This window comes from Homo sapiens, chromosome 16 (assembly GCF_000001405.40).
Source record: "Homo sapiens chromosome 16, GRCh38.p14 Primary Assembly".
In the NCBI taxonomy this organism is placed as follows: Eukaryota; Metazoa; Chordata; class Mammalia; order Primates; family Hominidae; genus Homo; species Homo sapiens.
In genome coordinates this window covers 21,060,783-21,074,213 of record NC_000016.10, presented here as the reverse complement: position 1 = coordinate 21,074,213, position 13,431 = coordinate 21,060,783, and the positions used below count along the sequence as shown (strand labels likewise).

Below are 13,431 nucleotides of genomic sequence, written 5' to 3'. Positions count from 1 at the left end.
GTGACTTCTTTCCCTATTCAGTTTAAATGGTTGGAGTGTCTTGATTTCACTCAAGGAAGAGCTGTAGGGGTGAAAAGGTGTGATCCCTTTCTTCACCTAGCATGAAGGTCATTCACCGCCAATACTCCTATAATAAAAGACAGATTAACAAGAGAAAAGCATTAAAATTTTATTTAATCAAAGTTTTACATGACTTTGGAACCATCGAAAGTGAAGACCCAGGGAAAACTGTGTTTTGGGGCTTAGGTTTGATGAAGAATGGACAGCTGTATGGAAATGAAATTGAACAAAAGCGTATGGTATAATGGTCTAGACTCCATGGGAAGCCTAGCAAGACCTGCTGTTGAGATTCTTCTTGGTCTCTCTGTGTAGCAGTCCTTCCTCCCAGGCATAGGGCAAGACCCCCTCAGGAACGACAGTCTTGTGACCCACTATCAGACAAGGTTGCTCAGAGAATTTCCTTATGGCCGGCTGTCTTGGTCAGAGTGATATTTCAGGATTTTATGCTTGCTTCGGGCAAGAGGAGTTTAGTTTCTATGGACTGTCTTAGGGGAAAGATAAAGGAGCAGGAGAAAGGCAGAAAAAGATGGACAGAAAGATCTTGCTTCCAAGGCCTTCCAATGTCCTTCAGTTCAAAATACTCAGCAAATCAAGGTGCAATGCTTCGGGGTATCATGTTCTGAGACCCAACAGAACTATACATGATCTGATGAGAGGGAAGAGAGCTGAGGGCACAGGGCCTCATTACTGAGCCTCTCCCAGCAAGGGTGACCCAGCCACCATGGGTCTCAGAAGCGTGGCTGCATGATCAGCTTGGATTAGACACTGCTATAGAGGCTGTTGGGGTGACAAGAGGAGTATAAGCTAGGAGACCTGGGGAACAGCTCACTTATACCTGGCCAATCTGCAGAGTTTTTGCCTAAAGTAACTACAGACAAGGATCAGTAGCTAAATGGGGATCAAGAAACCACTTTATTAATAGCCCAACATACCTCCCAATGCTGAGCTACTGGTAAAACATAGATAAGAGAATACATGCTAGGCCCAAATTTAGCCTCCTAGATTAGACTTGAAAGAAGTGAGAACAGAGCGAGAAAGACCAAACCTGCCCCAGGGTCAGACCCTTGTCAGCTTGCTTGCCACAATGGCCCAGGAGAAAAAGTGCCACCCACAGGGCCTGGCCTTTAAGGCACACCTTAGACCTTACCTACTTGTAAAACAGGACCACTTGGTCAGGCTTGGTGCCTCACACCTATAATCCCAGCACTTTGAGAGGTCCAGGTGAGAGGATCACTTGAGCTCAGGAGTTCGAGAACAGCCTGGGTAACACAGCAACACCCCCTCTCTACAAAATAATAATAATAATAATAGTAATAATAATAATAATAATAATAATAATTAGCTGAGTATGGTGATGTGCACCAGCTACTTGGAAAGCTATTTGGGAAGCTGAGGCAGGGAGATTGCTTGAGCCCAGGAATTTGAGGCTGCAGTAAGCTATGATTGCAATATTACACTCCAGCCTGGGTGACAGAGTGAGACCCTGTCTCAAAAAAGACCCAATAAATGTATAAAACAAGCCAGGCATGGTGGCTCGTGCCTGTCATGCTTGTAATCCCAGCATTTTGGGAGGCTGAGGCAGGCAGATCACTTGAGGTCAGGAGTTTGAGACTAACCTTGCCAACATGGTGAAACCCCATCTCTGCTAAAAGTACAAAAATTAGCCCGGTGTGGTGGTGCTTGCCTGAAATCCCAGCTACGCAGGAGGCTGAGGCAGGAGAATGAATTGAATCTGGAAGGCAGAGGTTGCAGTGAGCTGAGATCATGCCACTGCACTCCAGCCTGGGCAACAGAGCAAGACTGTCTCAAAAATAAATAAATAAATACATGGCACATGTATACATATGTAACCAACCTGCACGTTGTGCACATGCACCCTAAAACTTAAAGTATAATAATAATAAAATTAAAATTAATTAATTAATTAATTAATTAAACAAAGGTCCCCAAACTTTCTTGGTTCACAATGGCTTTGTGTCTAAGTACTTTTTTCACAGTGCCCTTAGGCCAAAAGAAATACCTAATAGCTTTGTTTATGCAGTAATTAGGTCCAAACAACTTAATAAGGATTTATGCTCTAACAACTTAGGCACTGTTTGAAAAAAATACACCTACAATGAAAGAAAAACTAATAGCTGTATTTTATTTTTAAATAACCAGAATCATTCACTCTGAGTTGGCTGCGGTGCCCCGGGGCACATCAGTTCACAGTGTGGAAACCGCAGGTCTAGGCCTAACCAGTCAGATTAGCAGCCGATCTTCCTACCCAAGGGAAAGGAGAGCCAGGAAAGCAAGTGAAGAAGCAGGAATATAGGGAAAGGGGAAGAAATCTTCCTCCCCAGCAGATTATGTCTATGAGTCTTGGATTAGACTGTATTTGACTTCTGCAAAGGAGGTGGACAATAAATGTCTTTTTAAAAAAAAAATTTTTAGAGATGGGGTCTTGCTATGTTGCCTAGGCTGGTCTTGAATTCTGGGACTCAAGCGATCCTCCTACCTCAGCCTCCCAAAGTGCTGGGATTATGGGCATGAGCCACCTTGTCCAGCCTAAATATCTTTAATAACATTTTCAAGGAAGAAAGTAGAAGTCCTATTCCCTGCAAGACATAGATTCCTACTCCATGAGAGTGGAGTTCTGAGCTGGGAGGTCCTAAGGGATCAGCATGAAAAATGGGGAGGTAGCTGGATGCAGTGGCTCAAGCCTGTAATCCCAACACTTTGGGAGGCTGAGGCAAGAGGATCACTTGAGGCCAGGAGTTCGAGACCAGCCTGGGCAACACAGTGAGACCCCATCTCTTAAAAAAAATATCCAGGCTGGGTGTGGTGGCTCATGCCTGTAATCCCAGCACTTTGGGAGGCCGAGGCGGGTGGATCACCTGAGGTCAGGAGTTTGAGAGCAGCCTGGCCAATGTAGTGAAACCCTGTCTCTACTAAAAATACAGAATTAGCAGGGCGTGGTGTCATTTGCCTGTAATCCCAGCTATTCAGGAGGCTGAGGCAGGAGAATCACTTGAACCTGGGAGGTGGACGTTGCAGTGAGCCGAGATTCTGCTGGTGCCCTCCAGCCTGGGCAACAGGAGTGAAACTCTGTCTTAAAAAAAAAAATCCAGGCATGGTGGCATATGCCTGTAGTCCTACCTACTTGGGAGGCTGAGGCAGGAGGATCCCTTAAGCCCAGGAGTTTGAGGCTGCAGTGAGCTAGGATTGAGCCATTGCACTCAGGCCTGGGTGAGGAGACCCTGTCTCAAATAAATAAATTTTTAAAAAAGGAAAAGAAAAATGGGGAGGTTTCACAATCTTGACAGGGTGGGGCATCTTTATTTACAGGATACAAACATCTTGTGTGCAATTGATGACATTCAAATGCTACTTGATGATCACGTGATAAAGACCCAGACCATGTGTGGCTCCCCATTCATCAAACCAATAGAAGCAGAATGCCGGGTAAGAGGAAATGAAGTTGAATGCTTTGAGGTGTTTCGTTAGCTCTGGGTTTCTCAGAGGAGGGGAAAGGTTTTCACGTTCAGTTAACAAAGAAAGTCACTTTGTCCTAATTGGAAAAATAAATAAATAAATGATACAGTGGCTCACACCTGTAACCCCAGTACTTTGGGAGGCCGAGGCGGGCAGATCACCTGAGGTCAGGAGTTCAAGACCAGCCTGGCCAACATGGTGAAACTCCGTCTCTACTGAAAATACAAAAATTAGCCAGGCATAGTGGAGGGTGCCTGTAATCCCAGCTTCTTGGGAGGCTGAGACAGGAGAATCACTTGAACCCAGGAGGCAGAGGTTGCAGTGAGCCGAGATCGCGCCATTGCACTCCAGCCTGGGCGACAAGAGTGAAACTCCGTCTCAAAAATAAGTAAATTAATTAATTAATTAATGACACAAGGCTGAAAGCAATAACCATCCAAGAAAGCATATGGCATGCTGAGCCTTTGCAACTGTCTGCCAAAAGAGAAGATGGCATTTGAATGCACCAAATACACATGCATTTGGGAAGCATCTTATGGTAGTAATCTAGAATGTAAGCTACCCGAAGATAGGGGTTTGGCCTCCTGTGCTCATTGTTTGTAGCAGTGACATAGGCTAAGGACACAAACTCTGAAGCCAGATTACCTGGGTTCAAATTCTGGCTCTGCTCCTTACTAGTGGTGTGACCTTGGGCACATTACTAAACTGTTGTGTTTCAGTTTCTACATCTGGAAAACACGGTTTGTAATCACATCTACCTTGTAAGGCTGTGGGATTTAATTGGTTCCATATACTTAAAGCACTCAGACCATCACTTCTCACAGATTACGTGTATAACTATTGTAATTATTCTGCTAGGACGTGAGCTCCGTAAAGGGCAAAGCTCTTGTGTGTTTCATTCATTGCTATGTTCTCATCACCTGGAGCAGTGACCAGAGCATAGGGAGCCCTCAATAAGTATTTGTTAAACAAGTGACAGACTGAATGAATGAATAAATGTACGGCTCCATCCATTTGCTCTCTCCATGGGCCTGTGATGCAGAGTGGCAGGTTAATGATCCAGATATGAAATGCTAAATTCACAGAAATGGGAAGAAAAGCTAATTCGCATACAAGACAATTTGGATGCCTGGTTGAAATGCCAAGCCACCTGGCTGTACCTGGAACCAATCTTCAGTTCAGAGGACATCATAGCCCAGATGCCAGAAGAGGGGAGGAAATTTGGCATTGTTGATAGTTACTGGAAATCACTTATGTCCCAAGCGGTAAGTTTTTATACCCTAATAACTCTTACCAGCAGAAATACAAATGTTTCCTCATTATGCATTCTAGTCACCTTCCTTGAAACTTGTAAATGAACTAGAGTTTTGGAAAATCAATCTTTTTATATCTTCTTCTAATTTCAGAAGTTGTTATTATTAAAAATGCAAACATATGACCAGTGCGATGGCTCATGCCTATAATCCCATCACTTTGGGAGGCCAAGGCGGGGGTATCACTTGAGGTCAAGAGTTCCAGACCAGCCTGGCCAACATGGTGAAACACCGCATCTCTACTAAAAACACACACACACACACACACACAAATATTAGCCAGGCATTGTGGTGAATGCCTGTAATCCCAGCTACTCGGAGGGCTGAGGTGGGAGGATCGCTTGAACTCAGGAGGCGGCGGTTGCAGTGACCTGGGATCGTGCCACTGCACTCCAGGCTGGGAGAGAGAGCAAGACTCCGTCTCAAAAAAAATTAAAAAAAAAAAAAGCAAATACAAATATGTAACATAGAAAGCAGAAGCCTTTTGAAATCCCACTTCCCAAGCAGTAACTATAGGCAGTTTGTATTATTTAACTGTCATTTCTTACAAGGTTGTATTTGTTACAGGATAATGCAATAACAGTTTTATAGTGAATCCTTTTAGAATTCCAACAATTACCCACATTTGGTTACTCAGTTATTTAACAAATGTTTATTCAGTACCTACAATGACCCAGGTGTTATACTAGAAATCAGAAAATACTTGAAGGTGGCAAGAATATGATTTCTGTCTTCATAGAATTTGCTGCCTTGGCTGAGTGCGGTGGCTCACGCCTGTAATTCCAGCCCTCTGGGAGGCCAAGGCAGGCGGATTGCTTGAGTTCAGGAGTTGGAGACCAGCCTGGATAACATGGTGAAACCCCGTCTCTACTAAAAATATAAAAAATTAACTGGGTATGGTGGTGTGCACCTGTAATCCCGGCTATTCCAAGGCTGAGGCAGGAGGATCCCTTGAGCCTGGGAGGCAGAGGTTGCAGTGAGCCCAGATTGCGCCACTGCACTCTAGCCTGGGCAACAGAGCGAGACTCTGTCCCCCCCCCCACCCAAAAAAAAGTAATATACAAATAGTTATTAGAATGCAGAAGAGTGATTTAGTTGTCTCAGCGTGTCAAGGAAGGCCTCTAAAGCAGGAACGTTGGGATCAAGCCTTGAAGGATGGTAAGTTCACTGGGCGTGCAAGGCACCTAGAGGGATCTTTTATGAGGTCAAATCATTTTCCTTTCTTAAGTCAAGTGTGATCAAACTGGGGTGCACTTAAAAAGATTTTGCTGCAAAGCAATTTGTCTTCCCTGCTTTGTTTGTGGGAGTGAGATAAATGGAATTTAGATTGTCCAGCCAGCATAAGCCAATTCTTTATTAGTTAAGGTTGTTTGGGTGCAAGTGACAGAAACTGACTCAGGATAGCTGAAACGAGAAGACCAAATGGGTGTCTCATGGAACCCAAGGCCAAATAGCACAGCCAAGCCTCACAAAAGATGGATCTAGAACCCAGAAGCCTCTTCTCTTAGGAACTCCTTCCATCTCTCTGATCTTGGCTCCTCTTTCCTGGCCCTGCCTTAGTCAGTCTCTCTCTCTCTCTCTCTCTCTCTCCCTCCCCACCCCCCCCCCCAAGACTGGCTTTCTCTATCACTCCGTCACACAGAGAAACATAATTCTCACTCAGCCCAAACTAGTATAGAATGTCATGGTTTGGATTCTAAACTCCTTGGGTTAAAATATAATTGGGTTTGGTTGGTTTTAGTACCCAATCCCTGCCCAGTCAACCATGATCAGAGGAACAAGGTCATGTTCCATAAGCATTCACCCCTGTGCAGTTAGGAGGGGGATCAGGAGGCAGTTAGCTGGACAAGGAGTGCTGTCAGTTGATAGGTCACACATTCAATACAATGACCAATCTCAGAACTTGGGAACCTTATGATGAGTCTCACTTTTTTTGATGGAACCCAGGTGAAAGATAACAGGATTCTGGTGGCAGCCGACCAGCCACGGATGGCAGAGAAGCTTCAAGAAGCCAACTTTCTCTTGGAGGACATCCAGAAAGGGCTGAATGATTACTTGGAGAAGAAGAGACTATTCTTCCCCAGGTATCCAGCATTGTTCTTTTATTTGGAATTACATTCTTGCCCCATATGTAGGTAGAATTACATTTTTCATGCCAAGAGTTGGCTTCAACCAATCTAGTCCATACTCTTTCCTGGTTTTCCATTCTCCAAGACAGTTTTCAGGAATGGGGCATGGCTTCACCATCTTTACTTAGCGTGAGGTTGAATGGACAGCAATGGGTGTCAAATGCACACGTTGTCCAAACCAACACTGTTATTTTTCCTAATTACGGGGGTAGAGTATTCATGACTGTGAGCCTGGATTTTGGAGTTAATTAGACCTCCTTTGGCATCCCAGCTTTTCTACCTAGTGGTCTTGAGGCCTCCAGCAAATCTATCCAAGCCTCAGGTTCTCCACCGTAAATTTGGGATATAATAATGGCCCCTACTTCATGTATTTGTTGTACACATTAATGAACTAACACATGTAAAAACATTTAGCACCTAGCCTATGTGTTTAAGAAACACCAGTCAATTTTTTTATACCATCAAATTTTGTAGTTTCTGATAGGTATGCTTATACATATTTGACTCTTTTTTTCCACACAAGAACCAATCTTCTGCATAAAAGTCAAGGGAGTTTTAGGTTAGTTCCAGGCTGGTCATGGTGGCTCACGCCTATAATCACAACATTTTGGGAGGCCAAGGTGGGAGGATTCATTGAGCTCAGGAATTTGAGACCAGCCTGGACAAGATGGGGAAATTCCACCTCTACAAAAAAATACAAAAAATAAGCCAGTGTGGTGGTGTTTGCCCATGGTCCCAGCTACTCTGGAGGCTGAGGTAGGAGGATCGCTTGAGCCTGGGAGGCAGAGGTTGCAGTGAGCCAAGATTGCACCAGTGCACTCCAGCCTGGGCAACAGAGTCAGACCATGTCTCAAAATAAAAAAAAAGGAGAAGGTTAGTTTCGGAAAGGTGAATTCTCACTCCTGACATTCCTGATAATCTATCCATGACTAGTTCACCATTGATGGTCACTCCATGTCATTTGACCCCACTTAGGATGTTTGATCCTAATTTACCTTTAAGAAACATAAATTTTAGCGTTTCTTTATATGGAGACAAAGTTAGTTCCCTGCTGTTTACCAAAAAAAACAAAAAAAAAAACAAAAAATGATTTGTTAGAAACTCAGAAGTATGACTGAGCACGGTGGCTTATGCCTGTAATCCCAGCACTTTGGGAGGCCGAGGGGGCGGATCACCCGAGGTCAGGAGTTCAAGACCAGCCTGGCCAACATGTTGAAACCCCGCCTCTACTAAAAATACAAAAATTAGCCAGGTGTGGTGGGGGGCACCTGTAATCCCAGCTACTTGGGAGGCTAAGGCAGGAGAATTGCTTGAACCTGGGAGGTGGAGGTTGCAGTGAGCCGAGATCATACCACTGCACTCCAGCCTGGGTGACAGAGCAAGACTCCGTCTCAAATAAATAAATAAATAAACAAACTCAGAAGTATCTTTGGTATTTATTCAATTCAGCATTATCCAATGAACTTTCTGCAATGATAGGAATGTTCTTTGTCCGTACTGTCCAATATAGTAGCCCTTAGCTGCCAGTGGCCACTGAGCACTTTATATGTGGTTGAGGTGACTGAGGAAGCCAATTTTTAACTTAGTTAATATTACTTTTTAATGTAAATAGCCACATGGGGCTAATAGCTTTTGTATTGGACAGCACAGTATAGTGGAAGGAACCCTGGTTTTGACACATAAGGCTTGGGAAGAGATTAAACTCAGGAAACACCTGAGGTTTGGGCTTCTAGTTCTAGACCCACTCCTGTTATTCCTAATTAAAATATGAATAATAGACCAGGCGTGGTGGCTCCTGCCTGTAATCCTAGCACTTTGGGAGGCCGAAGTGGGCAGATCACGTGAGGCTGGGAGTTCGAGACCAGCCTGGCCAACATGATGAAACCCTGTCTCTACTGAAAATACAAAAATCAGCTGGGCGTGGTGGTGGGTGCCTGTAATCCCAGCTATCTGGGAGGCTGAGGCAGGAGAATTGCTTGAACCCGGGAGGCAGAGATTGTGGTGAGCCGAGATGGTGCCACTGCACTCCAGCCTGGGTGACAGAGCGAGACTCTCTCTCAAAAAAAAATATGAATAATAGCACTAATATAGCATTTCCTTACACCAGGACCCTGCTCTAAGTGCTTTACACTTACTAACTAACTAATTTAATCTTTGTAATACTCTTATGGGTTTGGGAACATTATTATTGTCCCTGTTTTATAAATGAGAAAATAATGATTTGCCCAAAGATACAAGACTGGTAAAATGATCAAGCTAGAATTGATACCCAGGAAGTCTGGATAAGATATTCAGCCATTTAACCTCTCTGAGCCACATTTTTACCCTAAGTTAAACACACACACACACACACACACACACACACACACACACACACCTACCTCAATATTTATGCATTTTTATAAAATAAAATTAAACACTCTCAGCAAACACTTTGAGAATGTTGTTGATAGTCACATAATTTAAGTTAATTTCATCTTGAAAATACAGATTGCTAAAAAAAGATTTTAATTTTAAATTATACGAATGTATTATTACTCTTATGGCCATTGAGCCTTATTCATTATAGCACATGATGGAGATAGAGGGAGTGTATATCCATAGAGATCACCCATTTGAATTTCACTTGGGAGTGGGAGAAATTGACATCTCACTGGATATTTGTTAGTTGATCAGCAACAAATAATTATTACTCTTTGTACTTGCTCAACACTGTAGATACAGTGTATTCGTTTGCTTTGCTGAGTAACAAATGACCCCAAAAGTTAGAAGTGTGAAACAACAATCATGTTTCACATGATCAGTTTAGCTCAGAATTCTCTAGGTTGGCAGATTGAGCTGGGCTTGGCTGGGTGGTTCTTCTGGCCTCACTGGGGCTCACTCATGACTGCAGTCAGCCATCAGTCAGCATCCTTAATTGCTTGTCTGGTCATTGGCTTCCTACTGGCTGGACAACAGGTATTTGGGCCACATGTCTTTTATCCTGTAGAAGACTAGCCTGGGTTTATTTATATGGTGGTGGTCACAGGGTTCCTAAGAGCAGCAAGAGTGAAAGCATCATGGCCTCTTGATGCCTAGGCTTAGAACGTGCACAGACTCATGTTCACTTACATTCTATTAGCCAAAGCAAGACACAGAGCCAGCTCAAGTTTGAGAAATGTGAAAACAGACTCCACCCCTTGATGAGAGGAACTGTAAATATCGTGGCCATTTTTGTAATCCACCATATTTGGTAAAGACCATAATCACACAATCCCTCCATCATAGAACTTTCAGCCTGATGGTCACAGTACAGGTTTGAATATTGGACATTTTCTGAAGGTTTGTTGTTGCTGCTTTTAGGCCTGAACAAGAGATGAAATTGTCTTATTATCTCTAATTTAAAAGATAGTAAAGGGCTGAGTGCAGTGGCTCACATTTACAGTCCCAGTACTCTGGGAGGTGAGGTGGATGGATCACTTGAGCCCAGGAGTTTGAGACTAGCCTGGCCAACATGGCAAGACCCCATCTCTACAAAGTATACAAAAATTAGCCGTGCGTGGTGGCATGCGCCTGTAGTCCCAGCTACTCGGGAGGCTGAGGTGGGAGAATTGCTTGAGCCCTGGAGGTCAAGGCTGTAGTGAGCCAGGATTGCACCACTGCACTCCAGGCCGGGTGACAGAGACAGACCCTGTCTCAAATAAAATAAAATAAAAATAAAAATAAAAATAAAATAAAATAAAATAAAATATAAAATAATAAAATAAAATAAAATAAAAAAATAAATAAAATAAATAAAAGGTGGTAGAGGCCTCTGCATGTAAATAGGCTCATTATTAACATTTACTTTCTTGTATCATGCCTATACAATGTTCTTGCACGGATGGAGAGAAGGAAAGACAAGGAAGTCTCTCTCTCCTGCCCCTACCCAGTGGTTCTCAACACTGACTGCACATTAGAATGACCTGAAATTTAAAAAAATACAAATTTCATCAGCCGCACTCCCAGATCAATTCTATTAGAATCTCTGGACAATGGGACTGTGGCTCTGGAATTTTGTATAAGCTCCCCAGGTGATTCTAAAGTGCAGCCAAAGCTGAGAATTGCTGTTCTATCCGGGCTCCTTTCAACTGATAGCACCCATCCCCCAGTCCTATTAAACCCACACATGCCAGCTTTTATTCGTTCTCTTGCTGTCAGACTCAAAACCATCGCTTCTTGGTCTTTTGACTAAGATCAAGTGTGGTATCTCAGAGTCAAAACCATCTCCAAGCTGGGTGCAATGTCTCATGCCAGTAATCCCAGCTACTCAGGAGGCTGAGGAGAGAGGATTGCTTGAGCCCAGGAGTTCAAGTCTAGCCTGGGCAATATGGCAAGACCTCATCTCTTAAGAAAAGCAAAACTCCACCTTCCATGCCCCAGATGAAAAGTGATAAAAGAGAGTGGGCCTTTGTGAAGACCGCAAGACATAACTGGTATTCACGTAGGTGCGGACTACCTGTCAGAAAGTATCACCTTGCTAGAAAAAGTTCTTGGAAGAGGTTCCAGTTACCATCTTTCTTTGCTTTGAAATAGATTCTTCTTCCTATCAAACGATGAGCTGCTGGAAATCTTGTCCGAGACAAAGGACCCTCTCCGAGTGCAGCCGCACTTGAAGAAGTGCTTTGAAGGAATTGCCAAGCTTGAGTTTACAGACAATCTGGAAATTGTGGGCATGATCAGCTCGGAAAAAGAAACTGTTCCATTCATACAGAAAATCTACCCAGCTAATGCCAAGGTAACTCCTCTTACCCATTTTTGGTTCTTTTCTCCATAACAGAGTAAATCAGAGAGCGTATTGGCTAAGCACTGGGACTAAGCACCAGACTGCCTGGGGTATGGAACACTTGGGTTCTACGATGTAACGACTGAAGATTTGGGGAAGTTACTCAATCTTTCTGAGTCTCAGTGTACCCATCTCTAAGATGGGGATTCCACTGCAATCCACATGACATATTAAATTTGTGGATTTTAACCCAACTCGATGTGGAGTCAATTGCAGGAATCAGATCCAAACAGCCGATGCTGTTTAGATTTCCATGTGCAGAGTTCAGTTGAAAGTGATTCAGTTAGACAGGTAGCTTCCTGGGGCATTCATTTTAAAGATCAATAAAACATCATAGAATCAATGAGAGCTATAATGCAACTTAACTCAGGTTTTCATACATATGTCCTTATATAATGAGTAAAGTATAAATTACTTCCATTTCTGCTCAGTGACAGCACCCTCAAGTGGAAATAGACAAGCAAGCTGAGCCTTGCTTTGTTGACTGTTTTTGCCACCCACGCGTATAAACTGCAGCAACCAGGAGTCACATTACCAATGCAGACACCAGCTAGCTTACAAGCACCTGAAGTCAATAGCTACAGTTACCTGAAATTCTAACACTGAATAATTTGGGGCATATTTGAATTTCCCTATGGAGTTTTGATCAAAATCCAAATGACCAGGTTGCATCCCATACCAATTAAATCAGGAAGTCTAGGGGTGGGAGTCAGTCATCAGTATTTTTTAAAAGATCTCCAAGTGATTTCAAGGAACAGCAAAGTTTGAGACCCACTGGAATAATGCATGAATCAGAGCTGTTCATTTAAAAGATGCAATTTATTTTATGAACTGACATAAATGTTTCATTTGCCTTCTGAGAAGTTGTCTGTTTCAGAAAATGACATGAAAGTAATGCGTATTAAAAATGGGCCGGGCGTGGTGGCTTGCACCTGTAATCCCAGCACTTTGGGAGGCCGAGGCGGGTGGATCACCTAAGGTCAGGAGTTTGAGACCAGCCTGGCCAACATGGCGAAACCCTGTCTCTACTAAAAAGCCAGGTGTAGTGGCACATGCTGTAATCCCAGCGACTTGGGAGGCTGAGGCAGGAGAATCGCTTGAACCCAGGAGGCGGAAGTTGCAATGAGCCGAGATCACACCATTGCACTCCAGCCTTGGGTGACAAGAGTGAAACTCCGTCTCAAAAAAAAAAAAAAAAAAAAGGCCTATCGCCCCTTTAGAAGGCATATGCTTCTGAGAATACAGAAAATAAGTGTCAAGCAGATAAAGAATATTGGAATATTGGCTGGGGCCAAGGCCAGGTGCCATGGCTCACACCTGTAATCCCAGCACTTTGGGAGGCTGAGGCAGGAGGATCTCTTGAGGCCAGGAAATCAAGACCAGCCTGGGCAACATAGAGAGACCACGGCTCTACAGAAAAATTTAAAAGTTAGCCGGGCATGGTGGCATGTGCCTGTAGTCCCAGTTACTCAGGAGGCTGAGTCAGGAGAGTCACTTGGGCCCAGGAGTTCAAGGCTGCAGTGAGCCAGGATCGTGCCACCGCACTCCAGTCTGGATGACAGAGCAAGGCCCTGTCTCTCTCTATAAAAAAAAAAAAAAAAAAAAGAAGAGACCAGGCGCAGTGGTTCACACCTGTAATCCCAGCACTTTG

The 13,431-nt window shown here is 43.7% G+C and overlaps 1 protein-coding gene across 16 annotated transcripts in view; it reads left to right on the top strand.

Moving 5' to 3' along the window:
• DNAH3 (dynein axonemal heavy chain 3) overlaps positions 1 to 13,431 on the top strand; it is a 226,349-nt gene that overhangs the window by 85,246 nt on the left and 127,672 nt on the right. For all 16 annotated transcript variants that reach the window (XM_017023432.2, NM_017539.2, XM_047434349.1 and 13 more), the window contains 4 exons: positions 3,388 to 3,504; positions 4,620 to 4,799; positions 6,795 to 6,931; positions 11,531 to 11,732. In XM_017023432.2, coding sequence (XP_016878921.1) covers positions 3,388 to 3,504; positions 4,620 to 4,799; positions 6,795 to 6,931; positions 11,531 to 11,732 — 636 coding nt within the window. The remainder of the gene's footprint in view (positions 1 to 3,387; positions 3,505 to 4,619; positions 4,800 to 6,794; positions 6,932 to 11,530; positions 11,733 to 13,431) is intronic.